General features: G+C 33.8%; 1 protein-coding gene across 15 annotated transcripts in view; it reads right to left on the bottom strand.

The window, feature by feature from the left end:
- The window catches only part of STXBP5L (syntaxin binding protein 5L), a 516,557-nt gene that overhangs the window by 300,263 nt on the left and 199,147 nt on the right, over positions 1-17,147 (bottom strand). For 14 of the 15 annotated variants that reach the window (NR_145516.2, XR_924217.3, XR_001740373.2 and 11 more), the window contains exons 6-7: positions 9,440-9,574; positions 2,795-2,858 (exon numbers count right to left, since the gene is read on the bottom strand). Coding sequence is in view for 11 of the 15 variants with exons in the window: in NM_014980.3 (NP_055795.1) it covers positions 2,795-2,858; positions 9,440-9,574 (199 nt within the window). In the remaining 4 variants the exon portion in view is untranslated. Of the gene's footprint in view, positions 1-2,794; positions 2,859-9,439; positions 9,575-17,147 lie in introns of those variants that run through there. The other variant, XM_047449249.1, reaches the window with a different exon arrangement.

Below are 17,147 nucleotides of genomic sequence, written 5' to 3'. Positions count from 1 at the left end.
TATAAAAGACTTTTATAAAAAAATTTATAGTTATATAGCAAAACAAATGAAAGCCAAAGTAAACATATTTATAGATGGAACACCCATATCTTAACATGTAAATTTTCTATAAGTTATACACTCGAATTTCAAACAAAATCCCAATTGAGAATCACATTGAGCTTGATAAGCTGATTCCAAAATTCATATACTAGAATAATGAGTCAGAAATAGCCAAGATAATTCAGAAAAAGAAAAGGGACCAGCTTACCAGATATCAAGACATTTTGTAAGTTATTATAATTAATAAAGTATGTCATTAGTACAATAGTAGATAAATAATTCAGCAAAAGGTTAAGCCTAGGAGACCAATCCAAATATTGGAACTTGATATATGAGTGAGGTGTATAAATCAGTGAAAAATAGATTCACTATACAATAAATGAATTATTTACATGTGCAAATAAAAGTCTACTATATCAAACCATCATAAATTACATGAAGATTAAAATCTAATTGTGAAATGCAAGGTCTTAAAACCAATAGAAAAAAATAGAATTGTATTTTCTCTCTGGTAGGGAAATATTTACTGAATAAGAAACAAAAAGCAAGAATCACATGAAAAGACTGATAAAACTGCATATATTAAAATAAAAAAACTTCTGTGACAAAAGACTATTGATGGAAAAACTGATATACAAGAAGTAAAGTGATTTATTCAAGATTATATGCTAATAAATGCTAGAGCCACAACTCAAACCTATAGTTTTCTGATGCCAATATTCATTTATTTTGCAGTCCTTTTAATTTGTAATTAAACAATTGCCACATTATATTCTTTCATAAAAATTTGAACAACACAAATAAAATAAGAATAACTTTGACCATTTTCCCCAATTCCAATCTTTAGTGTTCTCCCAGATTTGTCTATATTCTTTCAGGCTTTTTTTTTTCTTAGGCATTTGAATATATAAGTACAAATATAAAGGCAATGTTCAAGTGGTTTTATACCTTACTGTTCTGCAACTTTTCTTTTAAAAAATGCGTCTTAAAGAACTTTCCATATCAACACAGCATTCCACAGTATGAATACATCAGCATTCATTTATTCAATATTCTATTAAGAGACATTTAGACTATTTTAATAGTTTGCACCATTAGTCACATAAACAGTATAGATATCGGAAATGAATTTTCTAGGTCATAACAAATTCCAAAAACGAATATATGTTTTAAATGTTGATAATGCTTAATTGCTCATCCTGGTATATATACATATATTTAGATGGCTATTTCCCAGTGCTTTTTCCATTCTCTGATATTTTAAAATTAATATTTTTAGTGTTTAACATTTTGTCGGTATGATGTTGACAAATTGTATATTGTATTTCCCTAATTACTAGTGAGACTGTTTCCTCCTCACTGCCAAATCCTTCTCTCTAGAAGTAAGAGGCAACAACATCAACTCTTAAAATCATCTTTTTTGGTAGGCTTATTTTCATATGTCTAAATATGTTTATATTGCTATTTTCTGATTTAGTCATTAGATATTATATATTGATTTCTTACTACAAGATGAGGATTTAGTACAAGTTCTTTATATATTTTACATGTTCATTATTTTTGACATGTAGGAAATATTACCTCCCACTTTGTTGCCTATCTCTTATTATGAGATTCTTGTTATAGCATATGCCCTAAAGTTTTTAGATTTTGCCCAAGAGTGTCCCTACTCCACAGTAACTAACAACCCTATCCTACAAGCATCTTTGAATACTTTCTGAGTTGTAATTTTAATGTTTATTAAACATTGGTTCTTTATGTATCTATGAGGCAGAGGTCTTACTATTCTTTTCAAAGTGAAGAACCAATTATCCAGTACCATTTATTCAATAGCTAATTATGTCCTCAGACATCTTCTTTAAAATATATAACATTTTCCCAAATACCTGAACTATTTGGGGATTTATCTATTTAGATACATTGGTCCTCTTGTGTACCCCTGTACCAATATAACACTGTATTTCTTTTTCAAAAATGTCATGGCTATTCGTATACATTTTCTTTTCTTAATAAATTTTAAAATCACCTTTTGAATTCTTAAAAAATAAACTCTGACGGCACCTGATTGGAATTACATTGTACTTGTGGATCAATTTGAAGGGATCCAATTTTATTCCTTGGGTGGGTGGACTTGCCTTTCAGGTTTGATTTTTGATAGGCTAATTCAGTTTCTATCCTTTAAAAATAAAGAACCAAACCTATATACTAAATAATTTATTAATATTAATTAATTAATATTAAAAATATCTAATTTTCATGTTTTCAACTGTTTCCTCACCATCAAAGGCAAATTATGAAATAATCAAAGTGAATAAGAATTATTTCTGTAGTCTGATAACATTTTATATATTAGTACATGTTAATGAAATCAAGATTGGCTAATTTATGTTATTTAATATTGGTCATTTTTCATTACCAAACTGAGTAACAAAGGCAAATTATAATCATATTATTAAATTCAAGCATAGAGTATTTGAAAATTAAAGTTGTTCTACATGTTATCGTTCTCAAAATGCCAGAATTAAATACCGATTTTATCTCTCAGTAAAGCTAAAGACTTAATTTGGGACCATCAGTAGCATGATTCATTCATTCATTCATTTACTCATTCGTTGATTCAACACATTTTCATTTTACATAATATAAAATGCTATCAACTGGGCTAGATACTAGATATAAAATAATAGTAAGAAACACCTTTTTTCAAGAATGAGGAAAATAAAACTAATAATAAAGATATCATAATACTCACTTTGCCTTCATCTCTTGGGCTATCGCTTAAATGTACAACTGGACCTGGATGAGTCTTAGTGGATCTGTTAAATCAATTCAAAACAGTAATTAAAAACCAAACATTAAAATACCTTACCACTAGAGACTGAAACAAAGAAATTAAGATTACACTGGAATAAAATCCCACCATTCTAGGGTTAAGCTCAGATTCACTTAAGTTTTTTATTTACTTTACCAGTCCTAACTGCATTTCTGTTTACTAATTGCAAACTACTTATTTATGTTTTTCTTTAAAAATCGGGTTAAAACACAAAGATCCTAATAACAATGGGGTTCTTTATTATTTGAAACGTTTGTTGTCAGATAAGCGCCTCTGAATTTTTTTAATTGAATTTTTATTTACATAGATAAAAGAACACTACAGCTACAAAGGTAATGGTGTAAAACTGTCTCAGTTAAATTGCAAAGTACATACCTGATTTAAGATTTCCTTTTACACGAAATCTCCTCTGATTATTTTCCCCTAAAGAAAAGTACAGTGGCACTTTTGATTTAAAAATAAATCTACTCTAGTGATAACGCTTTTACAGAAAAACAACAAATTGGAGTGAAACCTAGTTCATTGGTTATACCACACTTATCAGGTTATTTAGTATAATAAATAACAGATAATTATGAGTCTAACAGAATATTGTTAAAAGACCTGGGCTCTCTCTATCAATCTGACTTTAAATTTATTCTACTCTCATATCTGGCATGTTTCTATTATAATTCCTAGTTTAACTTACATCACTTTGAAAATGATTATGTCATGATTAAATATGATCTGATCTGATATAACAAGGGTTTTATTATTGCTCCACTTTCCACAGCCTTTCTCCACGACCTAACAGTGTCAAATTATTCTTATGATTATATTAACACAGTTTCAGTTTCTTTCTTAAGCACACATGAAAACTATCAAAGATTCTATACAAAACAATGAAGAAGATTTAAATCTTAGAAACTATTTGGAATCAGAGAAAAGTGACAAATTAATTCTAGGATCTCCTGGTGCTGACTCCTCAGAGTTACCAAGGGGAATAAACACAGATTCATTGGATATTGATGAATTTTGTTAGTGGATTCATCTTAAATATTTTCATCTAAAAATGGAAATATTAGGACTGACCTTACTGAATAATTGTGCAGATTAGAAGATACATACAGCATCTAATACTATGGCAAAACATAGTGTGCATTCAATAAATAGTATGTATTATGATTGATGTGATAATTGGAAATTAGAGTTACTATTTGCATTCTAGAATATATGCAGGAAGAAAAGAAATTAAACAGGGCTTCATAAAAAGTTTACAGATATTTCTTTAATTTTTTCCACATTTATATGTAACATATCATTTATACATAAATTCAGTGTTCTATAAAGGTATAAATGCCTCTGATAAGGTTTAATGTCTTTAAATTATCCTCCAGGAATTCATAATTGCCAACAAACCATAGCCTCTCCGTCTCTTGGTTTGATTGCACTAACACTTACCAAAGTGTACTTTACGATAAGTTAGTTGTTCTATATTTTAAAACTTTGGGAAACCCTGAATTAAAGTTAAATATTATTTCCCCTACAGAATTTCTTAGAGCCTGTACTATGCAAATAAGCATTGTAAATCTTCAGTACTTTACAAAATTATTAGTCCATTGAATCCTTTTTCATTGATCATATTAATGAAATCACAGAAATTTGTTTTGGGAAACACTACTCGGATCACATGCAAGACTCTTGTGTTTAGATCCTTAAACTATAGAATATTCTACTTCTGAAAATAATCTAACATTAAACTTCCGTTATTTGTAGTTGCTTTTTCAGACTCTAGAAGAAACATTATTTACTATCTTAAACAAACATAGAACACATCAAAAGTGAAGAGGAAAAAGGGTTCACATTATTTCACTGCATAGAGATAATGCCTATTAACATTTTGGGGTATTTCTTCTGGCTTGTTCCCTAACATTAAACTTCCAAAACCACAAAGCACTCCTGGAAAAACTTATGGTCATGAGAAATTGACCTAAAAATAAAAAAGCATCTGTGGACTTTGGATTCTGAAAATTACAAAAAAAATTCTTTAGATAGAATTATCAATGAATTATTTTCATGTACTAGCCACCTAAAAAAATGTGCAGTAATTCTTCTCGGTATCCCTATTTAGTTCTCTTTCTCCCATTCACTAAAGTAGCCTTCTTAATATTAGTTTCCATTATGGGCTTTTCATTATCTTCCCATATCTTAAATATTGATATTCTATGGTATCCTGTCCTAGACTGCCATGTATTCCCATATAATATATGACCACAAATTCAAAACCCTACAGGAATCAGGCAGGTATTGCAAATGAGTTAAATAGGCTGAATAAGAACTGTACCAACCTGGATAGCACATTACCCACCTACATAAGGAAAGTTACTACTCATTTGCAGTTGATTATTGCCATACAGGAATGTTAGACTAGGACTGTTTCACCAAAAAGTCCAAATTTTTATCTTCATTCTACCAATTTTTAAATAATAGAAAGTCATAATTCAGAGCATATTTAAATGCTCTGATGGCCAAACAAAATATATCTATGAGTCATAATTAGTTCAATGGCTATTAGTTTGCTAACTTTTCTCTACATACTCTTTATGCACAATTTCATCTGTTCATCTGGTTTTAACAACCCAGTAAATTCTGATCTCTCTCATTACCTTCAGATCCATATATATCCCACCTCTTGCTATTCTTCTATACCAACTCCACTTGAAAGTCTTATAAACACATACAATTCAATGGAGCTAAAATTGAACTTATTATTTTACTCTCAACCTACTCAACCTCTTGCACTTTCACTAAATGGCACCATTGTACACCATTGCTCAAGGCAAACACTGGGAAGTCATCTTTAATTTTTCCCTATTATTATTCCTTCTTTTAAATATTTCTTTAATATGTTGGTTTATCTCCACTCCTACAACACCAACATAATTTTTACCAAGAACACAGTCTTTCTTTCTCTCCAATTATTTCTCCATACCTGCATTCAGGGTAGTACTCCTAAAATATAGATTTGATTGAGATCTGCTTGCAACCGTCAAAATCTAGCTCCCTATTAGTCTTTAAAGTCTGAACTTATCAAATTGGCTTACAAGACCTTTCATGTTATAAAACCTGATTACCTTCCAGCTTTATCCCTTGCTATCCTATCCACCAGCCATTCCAACAAACTATAAACTGCAGTACTTAAAATTTCTGGGCACAGAGCAGAAAATTATCTTATATTCCATCCTTTAAATATTCTGTTCCCTCTGCCCGGAATGTTCTTGTCCCTGGTATTTTACTCATCTAACTGAAACTCACCCCTTGGATCTCAGCATAGATGTAACAATCTTCACAGATACCACTTTGAGATCCCATGTCTATATTATAATAGATGTCCTTCTTATGGAATTGCCATATTATATTACCAGTATATTGTAATTGCCTTTTTATTTAACTTTGCCTCCATTAAACTGGAAGTCCCAGGAGGACAGAGATTATGTCTTCTCTGTTCATAGTTGTTTCTAGTATCTATCATATAATAGAGCTCAGTAAACATGCTTGAATGATGTTAAACATGAGTCTTACACTTTTATGATTTGATTATAAATTTCATGCTCAAATTTTAATCATATGTGGAAAAAAAGCTTACATTTTTTTAAAATGTTAGGGCTGCCCTACAGAAATAGCTGTTTCTATGCTATCACCTGGTATATATTTTCCCATATAAATATTTTTTAATGATAGTTTAGTTCTATGCTGTTATTTTATAAGGTATTCTTCAAATATCACTGTTTAAATGAAAAATTTGTCCCAGGTTCCAAATAACCAATATATACATTTTGGAAACCCAACTATTCATACTCTTGGGAATTGCCTCTAATTGCAATTAGAATAATTCACTAAAAATAGAAACAAGCTGAAAAATAAACATTAAATGAAAAGTATTTCAATAAGGACTTAAAATAGAAACAATCTCATATTTTTTTAGATAATTCTTGCATTTGTCCTACTTAGAAAATATATTATTAAAATTCATGGACTAAAATTATATTTATTAAATGAGTCTTCTTAATTAAATGCATATTTTATTACTGTCCCATACACTTGACACATATTAACAGGAAGTTACATACATTTTCTAATGTATCTCAAGAGGTAGAGAGCAATGAAAAGACAGTTCCAGGAGATTGGAAATTGGCATTTAAAATGTTATCTGTCACAGTGGAATTAGAATTCTATGGAACATATTTTTGGAAATCCGGTCTAAATGAATCAAGAGACATTCAGGAAGTGATGGTATGTGGTTTACTAATAATTTCTCAGAGATATTTCAAGAACATTTTCAGAGGCATGTACAACTCGATAAAACACAGGTTTATATATAAAATAGTAGATGCTATTCTAATGCTGAATCATGTGTATATTATGAAAAATAAAAATGCCTTATTTTAGCTCTTTAATTTCTCCTGATTTTAGCCTCCCTTATAATATACATTTTAAAAACTCTTCATTAGTCTTGAAATTGTATAGACTATATAAACACATTAAAATAAAGTATAAGTCACTAGTTCACGTAGTAATCTGAACCATGAAAAGGATTTGTTACATAAATGAATATAAGAACAGCATTGCAAGAGTGGTGAAATGTTTAATTTGCTTAAGATAACAAATTCTTCTCAATTACTTTAGCAGCATTCAACCTGAACACAAGTGATGCATCTATATATTTTCACTAATATTGAATTTATTTAAAAGTTTTATAACTGAATCTTCTCTTGTTCATCTAAGCCTGTATGTTTTTATCAATATCCTGAAACAATATTATGTAAAACTATTAAAATTCAGCCCTTTTATTGCTTTTATAGGACTAGGATTACAGGGGAAAAGGACCCTCCCAAATACCTAATAAAGTAACTTTGGGGGGAAACATAATTATTTATAGGATTAATGTTTTTAGAAATATTCACACAGAACAACAAAATGAGCAAAATAGCTCACACCAATTATCTTGAAAACATAAATGAAAGTTGTAAGTCAATAGCAGTGTATATGTAACAATTTATCATACTAATGCTTCAATAATGTCATCAATCATTTAGTATTTACTTTGGAAAGCACAGAAATAAGCCAAGTATGAAGAACAAGAAAAGAACAATAAACAAAAATCCTGCTCTGGAGCAGTTCCTAATCTAATGAGGGAGAAAGAATTATCATTAATAAAAGACCCATTCAGACATAATACAAAAGGAGTATCATGACAAGAGTATAACTAGTAACAACCTTCCTTATGAAGCAATATACATGCATATTGAAACATTAAGATTAGGTAAAATATTTATTTCCAGCGTCAAGCTTCACAAAAATAGGGTGTTTTAATCAGAATTTTGCAGAATAATTTTGTAACTTAGACTATATATGAGGCAGAAAATGAGTCAACTTCAAGTCAAACATCTTATCAAGGACCTAATATGTAGAGAGCATAAACGTGTTAAATAAAAGTTGTTTTTCTGATTAATAATTTTACTAGAAGAATTGCTTACGTATGTACTACAAATAGATGGTGATATAGTTTGGATATTTGTCCCTGCCCAAAGCTCATGTTGAATTGTAATCCCTAAATGTTCAAGGTGGGGCCTAGTGGGAGGTATTTGGATCATGGGAAGTGGATTTCTCTTGAATGGTTTAGCACCATCCCCTTAGGGCTCTTCTTGTAATAGTGAGTTCTTGCCATAGTAAGTGAGTTCTTGCAGTAGTGAATGAATTCTCGTGAGATCTTGTTGTTTGAAAGTGTGTGGCACCTCCCCCTAACTCCTCCTCTTGCTCCTGCTTTCATTATATGACATGCCTGCTCCTAACTTCTACCATGATTGTAAGCTTCCTGAGGCCTCCCTGGAAGCTAAGCAGATGCCAGCACCATGCTTCCTGTAAAGCCTGTAGAACCATAAGCCAATTAAACCTCTTTTCTATATAAATTACCTTGTCTCAGGGATTCCTTTATAGCAATGCAAAATGGCTGAATACAGATGGCTTGAAATTCCACAGAGTTTGATATTTGGAGAATTTCACATTTCACATGTACAGAAACTTAAATATCAGTGCCAAAGCCAAAGTGGTAATTGCCATCAATCATACACCCAAAAAACCTATGTATAACGTAACCTAAAAGATATTTGAGCCCTGAACAATATTTTAATGAGGCAAGAAAAGAACAAGCTACAAGCATTAAAATCATATGCAGTGATCATGATTATTTTTACATAACACAATTCATTCTCACTGAAAGTTGCTATACTAAGCTTGATTATAATGAAGTGAGATTTCCATGTATAACTTTTAGAATAAGCCTTACTATTTTGTCATCACATTTTTAGATATAAAGCTTAATTATTTATGGTATTTGGAAAGCCTAAAATATTGTAATATCTATTTTTAAAAGCTTTTATGGCTTTAAGTTATTTTACTGAACTTTTCACTCAAATTCATTATAAATTAGTAATAGACGTATCAAATAACTGTAATTTGACCTACATGTTACATAACTGTATGAAGTATTTAAGCCAATAAAGTGATATCCAAGTTCAAACTTACAGTTCAATTGCCTTGTTCCACATGATAACATATCCAGAAAGAATGAAAGATTCAATATTTACAATATGTGTATTTCCTCTTTCTGTTCCAACATAAAGCCATTTACTCTGGAAAGGTAGATGACAGTAAGTAATTCTGAAAGAAAGAAAATTATAATTAAAATATCTAAATTTTACATTTGGTCAGCATTATATTTTCCTTACATGTATTATGTAGTGATAGCTATATAAATAATAAAATGTACTATATACTCAAGTATAGCATGTAGTTATTCATTGAGAGTATAGGATAAATAATATTATAGCGTTAAAAACAATAATGTTAATAAGCACTATTAATAAGTGCCTATATGGGCATTAATTTACATTATTTCTAATTCTGAAAACAGCAAGACAGATATGTATTTCTGTTTTACAAAAATGAAACTGTGGCTGAATTTTTTTGTTTACTTGCCTAAGACCGCTAATAAGCAGCAAAACCGGGATTCTAATCCTTTCCTGTTTGGTTACAAAATTAACATCTTTCACTAAGCTACATTTTTTTCTATTTTTAAGATCATATTTGCTTCAAATACATGAATTTCATATTATATTTCGTAAACTTAATATTTACTTCAAATACATAAAGGTCATATTTGCTTCAAAACATAAATTTCAGAGTTCACAGAGAAGTGGTAGCTATGTCTACATGAGATGATAAATTATTTAGTTTTTATTCAGATGTTTGACATATAAGCAGTAAAAAGAAAACTTATAAAGTCAGAGCTTCACTGTATTTTTCCCTTCATTTTATTGTTCTGTTTTCATCTTCACAATGGGCTCTCTGACTAGCTCTAGGACCTGTTCCATAGCCAGAGCAATCATGACTCCTACATATTAAATATGGGAATTTACCAGAGTCCTCTATTCACAACATTATCACTCCTTCTAGTTTGGCCTAATCATGCTTTTTAGTTACTCCACAAAAGAGAAGGAGGATAAGTTCATAGTTATCTCTTGTCAGACAGACCAATAAATTTTTCAAAAAAAATGTGAATGACATATTTCCAATATGATATTGTCTTGTACTTCTTTATATAAGAATAAAAAGGCCAGGCGCGGTGGCTCATGCCTGTAATCCAAGCACTTTGAGAGGCCGAGGCAGGTGGATCATGAGGTCAAGAGATCAAGACCATCCTGGCCAACATGGTGAAACCCCGACTCTACTAAAAATACAAAAAATTAGCCGGGCGTGGTGGTGGGTGCCCATAGTCCCACCTACTTGGGAGGCTGAGGCAGGAGAATCACTTGAACCCAGGAGATAGGGTTACCATGAGCCGAGACTGTGCCACTGCACTCCAGCCTGGTGACAGAGCAAGACTCTGTGTCACAAAAAAAAAAAAAAAAAAGAAAAAGAAAAAAGAATAAAAGTGAACATCCAGTGTGTCCAATTTATATTCTCAGTCTGGTTCACTGAAGTTTTCAACAGTCTGTTTCTTTGAACCAAACTTCATATATTATTCAAAGTACCCTGCACACTACATTCAAAAAATTAAAAGCTCTGCTATTACATAAGCAATTACTATTGACAATAGTAATTGTGTAGCCTATATGATGTTGGAAAATTTTGATTAAAACCTAAAATCTAGAATTGCTGTTGCCAAGAGATATTTAATAATGTTGCACAGGAAATAACTTGATGGTCATGTTTCAAGGCAATGAAGAATCAATTTTCAATTCAATCTTAGGTAGAAAGAGGAAACTTACTTTAAAGAGGACTAAGATCATCCTTTCTGAATTACAGGGACAGTGGAAAAAACACTAATCCCATTAAAGAAGACATAAATATAGGGGTTCAAGTAGAAAAAAAGCAAACCTCAATATTACATAGTCACTTCCAGGGTTAAGAAGAAAAGTGTAAGAACTACCAGGTTTCAGTAATGAGACAGAACTAGAACTATTCCTTGAACTAGTAACTACTTTTTTCCTCATCCTTATTAAATAGAAACTAGAGCCTTTATATCAGACAGGTTTCACCTTATATTCAATGTCCAACTGATGAGTAGTGGTTACAACAACTAGATAAAGATTTTCAGGTTTTAACTGAACCCCCCCAAAAAGAGTAACAGGATTACTTAGAATGATTGCCATAGATAAAGGAAAAGATATACTAACACTTCTGCTGTATATTTGCTAGCTCTAATATATGATTAGTCAATACCTTTATACAACTTAATTTATTGTATTTTATAATTACACTTTCATTTGTAACTTATTTCTACCACCACTACCTGATAGATGAAGGATTTTTTCTACTGCATGTAAGCCTTGGAAAAATAATCTTATTCCTATATCAATATTAACTATCATTAAATAATCGAAGATATCCTTAGCTTTCCATCCATTCATCCATTTATTCAATCTTCACCGAATAACTCTTTATAAAAAAAGTATTGTTGCCGGGAGGGACCAAGATGATTGACTGGAAATAGCTGCGGTCGAAGGCTCCCACCGAGAAGAATGAAAACGGCGAGAGAAGAACGAAAACTGCAAGTGAATCCCGCACCGGCAACTGAGGTATCCAAATTCTCTCATTGGGACTGAATAGGCAGTTGGCACAACCCACAGAGAGCCAGCAAAAGCAGAGTGGAGCAACGGCCCACCTGGGAGCTGCAAGTAACAAGGGGAACTCCCACTCCCAGCCAAGCAAGGTGGTGAGTGTGCTACCTACCACCAGGAAAACCATGCTTTTTCCACGAATCTGTGCAACCTGCAAATCAGAAGATCCCCTTTGTGAGCCTATGTGACCAGGGCCTTGGGTCCCAAGAACAGAGCTGTGCAGATTCTTGGCGGTCGCTCAGCTAGAGACTAAGATTACCAAGTTCCTGAGGGGAGGGGCAGCTGCCATCATTGCAGCTGCCTGTTGCCTAAGATGACTGAGTCCTGGGGGGAGGGGTGGCAGCCATAAATGCAGCTCCATTCTGCCACTTTTTCCCTGCTGGTGCGAGGGAGACTGAGCGGTTTGGACTCAGGAGGAATTCTCCACAGTGTAGCACAGCGGCTGTGGTGGATCATGGCCATACTGCCTCTTTAAGCTGGACCCTGACCCATTCCTCCTCACTGGATGGGGGCCTCTCTGCAGGAATTTCAGAAACTCCAGCTAGGGATTTACAGACAGAACTCTGATCTCCCTGGGATAGAGCCCCTTGCAGGAGGGGCAGCCATGGTCTCTCTCCATGGATCAGTGGACTTAGTCTTTCCCCCGATGGCTCTGCAGAACCTGGGAAGTGCAGATGAGTGGGATTCCTCCCACCACAGTGCACCCCCTCTGCCAAAGCCCAGCCAGAGTGCTTCGTTAAGTGGATTCCTGATCCCATGCCTCTTGACTGGGTGAAACCCCCCAACAAGGGTCACCAGACACCTTATTTAGGACCATTCCTGCTGGAATAAGGTTGGTGCCCCTCTGGGATGGAGCTCCCAGAGAAAGTAGCAGGCAGTCATCCTTGCTGTTCTGCAGCCTCCACTGGTGACACCTTCAGGTGTGGGAGGGACCCAGGCAAATAGGGTCTGGAGTGGACCCCCAACAAACCAGAAGAGGGGCCTGACCGTTAAAAGAATAACAAATAGAAAGCAGCAACAACATTAACAAAAAAGTCCCCTCAAAAACCCCATCCAAAGGTCAGCAGCCTCGAAGACCAAAGCTAGATAAACTCATAAAGATGAGAAAGAATCAATGAAAAAACACTGAACACTCAAAAAGCAGAGTGCTTCTCCTCCTCCAAATTATTGCAACACCTCTCTGGCAAGGGCACAGAACTGGGCAGGGCTGAAATGAATGAATTGACAGAAGTAGGCTTCAGAAGGTGGGTAATAATGAACTTCACTGAGCTAAAGGAGCATGTTCTAACCCAATGCAAAGAAGCTAATAACCATGATAAAACATTACAGGAGCTGTTAACCAGAATAACCAGTTTAGAGAGGAACATAAATGACCTGATGGAGCTGAAAAACACAACATGAGAACTTCACAATGCACCCACAATTATTGATAGCCGAATAGACCAAGCGGAGGAAAGAATTTCAGAGCTTGAAGACTATCTTGATGAAACAAGACAGGCAGATAAGATTAGGAAAAAAAAGAAAAAGGAATGAAAAGGAATGAATAAAACCTCCAGGACCTATGGGGTTATGTAAAAAGACCAAACTTCTGACTGGTTGAAGTACCTGAAAGAGACAGGGAGAACAGGGCCAAGTTGGAAAACGTACTTCAAGATATCATCCACAAGAACTTCCCTAACCTAGCAAGAGAGGCCCACATTCAAATTCAGGAAATCCAGAGAACCCCAGTAAGATATTCCATAAGAAGATCAACCCCCAAGGCACATAATATCAGATTCTGTAAGGTCGAAATGAAAGACAAAATATTAAGGGCAGCCAGAGAGAAAGGCCAGGTAACCTACAAAGGCAAGTCCATCAGACTAACAGCAGACCTCTCAGCAGAAACCCTACAAGCCAAAAAAGATCAGGGGCCAATATTTAACAATTTTAAAGCAAAGAATACTCAACCCAGAATTTCATATATGGCCAAATGAAGCTTCATAAGTGAAGGAGAAATAAAATCCTTTTCAGACAAGCAAATGCTGAGAGAATTTGTCACCACCAGGCCCATCTTGCAAGAGCTCCCAAAGGAAGCACTAAATATGAAAACAAACAAGCAAACAAACAAACAAAAAACTGTTACCAGCTACTACAAAACCACACTGAAGTACAAAGACCAATGACTCTATAAGGCAACTACATCAACAAGTCTGCAAAATAACCAGTTGGCATCATGATGACTGGATCAAATTCACACATAACAATATTAACCTTAAATGTAAATGAGCTAAATGCCCCAATTAAAAGACACAGAATGGCAAGCTGGTAAAGAGTCAAGACCCATTGGTGTGCTATATTCAAGCGACCCTTCTCACATGCAGGGACACACATAGGCTCAAAATAAAAGGATGAGGGAAAATCTACCAGCAAATAAAAAGCAGAAAAAAGCAGGGGTTGCAATCCTAGTTTCTGACAAGACAGACTTTAAACCAACAAAGATCAAAAAAGACAAAGAAGGGCATTACATAATGGTAAAAAGTTCAATTCAACAAGAAGAGCTAACTATCCTAAATTTCTATGCCTCACTTCAAGAGCAACGAAATTTATAAAACAAGTTCTTAGAAACCTACAAAAAGATTTAGACTCCCACAATAATAATAGGAAACTTTAATATTTCACTGTCAATATTAGATCATTGACACAGAAAGTTGATAAGAATCTTCAGGACTCAAACTCAGCTCTGGCTTAAGTTGGTCTGGGTATCTACAGAACTCTCTATCCAAAAACAGCAGAATATACATTATTTTCAGCACCACATGGGACTTACTCTAAAATCAATCATTTAATTGGAAGTAAAACGTTCCTCAGCAAATACAAAAGAACTAAAATCATAACAGTCTCTCAGACCATAGAGCAATCAAATTAGAACTCAAGATTAAGAAACACAGTCAAACCCATACAACTAACTGGAAATGCAACGACATGCTCCTGAATGACTCCTGGGTAATGAAATTAAGGCAGAAATCAAGAAGTTCTGTGAAACCAATGAGAACAAATAAACAATACACTAGAATCTCTGGGACACAGAAAAAGCAGTGTTAAGAGGGAAATTTATAGAACTAAATGCCCACATCGAAAAGCTAGAAAGATCTCAAATCGGCACCATAATATCACGACTAGAGAACCAAGAGCAAACAAACCCCAAAGATAGCAGAAAACAAGAAATAACCAAGATCAGAGCAGAACTGAAGGCGATAGAGACATGAAAAACCCTTCAAAAAAGTCAACAAATCCAGGAGCTGGTTTTTTGAAAGAATAATGAAATAGACCGCTACCTAGACTAATAAAGACGGAAGAATCAAATTGATACAATAAAAAATGATAAAGGGGATATCACCACTGACCCCACAGAAATGCAAACAACTATCAGAGAATACTATAAACAAATAAATTAGTTTATTTGCACTAATTTATTTGCATACTATGCAAATAAATTAGAAAATCCAGAGGAAATGGATAAATTCCTGAACACATACAGCCTCCCAAGACTGAACCAGGAAGAAGTTAAACCCCTGAATAGACAAATAATGAGTTCTGAAACTGAGGCAGTAGTAAATAGCCTACCAACCAAAAAAAGCCCAGGACCAGACTGATTTATAGCTGAATTCTACCAGAGGTACAAAGCGGAGCTGGTACCATTTATTCTGAAACTACTTCAAACAAATTAAAAGGAAGGACTAGTGCATCAATCATTTTATGAGGCCAGCATCATCCTGATACCAAAACCTGGCAGAGATACAACTAAAAAAGAAACTTCAGGCCAATATCCTGATGAACATCAATGCAAAAACCCTCAATAAAATACTGGCAAACCAAGTCCAACAGCACATCAAAAAGTTTATCTACCACGATCAAGCTGGCTTCATCCCCGGGATGCAAGGCTGGTAACAACATATTCAAATCAATAAATGTAATTCATCATGTAAACAAAACTAAAGACAAAAAACCACAGGATTATCTTAATAGATGTAGAAAAGGCCTTTTATAAAATTCAACATCTCTTCATGTTAAAAACTCTCAATAAACTGGGTATTGATGGAACATAACTCAAAATAATAAGAGCCATTTAGAACAAACCCACAGCCAATATCATACTGAATGAGCAAAAGCTGGAAGCATTTCCCTTGAAAACCAGCACAAGACAAGGATGCCCTCTCTCACCACTCCTATTCAACATAGTATTGGGAGTTCTGGCCAGGGAAGTCAGGCAAGAGAAAGAAATAAAGCGTATTGAAATAGGAAGAGAGGAAGTCAAACTGTCTCTGTTTGTAGATAACATAATCGTACATATAGAAAATCCTATCGCTTCAGCCTAAAAGCTTCTTAAGCTGATAAGCAACTTCAGCAAAGTCTCAGCATACAAAATCAATGTGCAAAATCACAACCATTCCTATATACCAACAACAGACAAGCAGAGAGCCAAATCATGAATGAACTCCCATTCACAATTGCTACAAAGAGAATAAAATAACTAGGAATACAGCTAACAATGGATGTCAAGGAGCTCTTCAAGGAGAACTACAAACCACTGCTCAAGGAAATCAGAGAGGACATAAGCAAATGGAAAAAACATTCCATGCCCATGGGCAGGAAGCATCAATATTGTGAAAATGGCCATACTGCCTAAAGTAATTTAAAGATTCAATGCTATTTCCATTAAAATACCACTAACATTCTTCACAGAATTAGAAAAAACTACTTTAAAATTCATATGGAGCCAAAAAAGAGCCCATATAACCAAGAAAATTCTAAGCAAAAAGAAGAAAGCTGCAGGCACCATGATACCCAACTTCAAGCTATACCACAAGGCTATAGTAACCAAAACAGCACGGTACTGGTACCAAAACAGACACACCAATGGAACAGAATATAGATCTCAGAAATAAGACCACACATCTACAACCATCTGAACTTTGACAAACCTGACAAAAAGAAGCAATGGGGAAAGGATTCCCTATTTAATATATGGCACTGGGAGAACTGGCAAGCCACATTCAGAAAATTGAAACTGGATCCCTTCCTTAAAACTTATAAAAAAATTAACTCAAGATGGATTAAAGACTTAAATGTAA

This window comes from Homo sapiens, chromosome 3, assembly GCF_000001405.40.
Source record: "Homo sapiens chromosome 3, GRCh38.p14 Primary Assembly".
Taxonomy (NCBI): Eukaryota; Metazoa; Chordata; class Mammalia; order Primates; family Hominidae; genus Homo; species Homo sapiens.
Note: the sequence above shows the minus strand (reverse complement) of the source record. Positions and strands in the feature narration are given on the sequence as shown.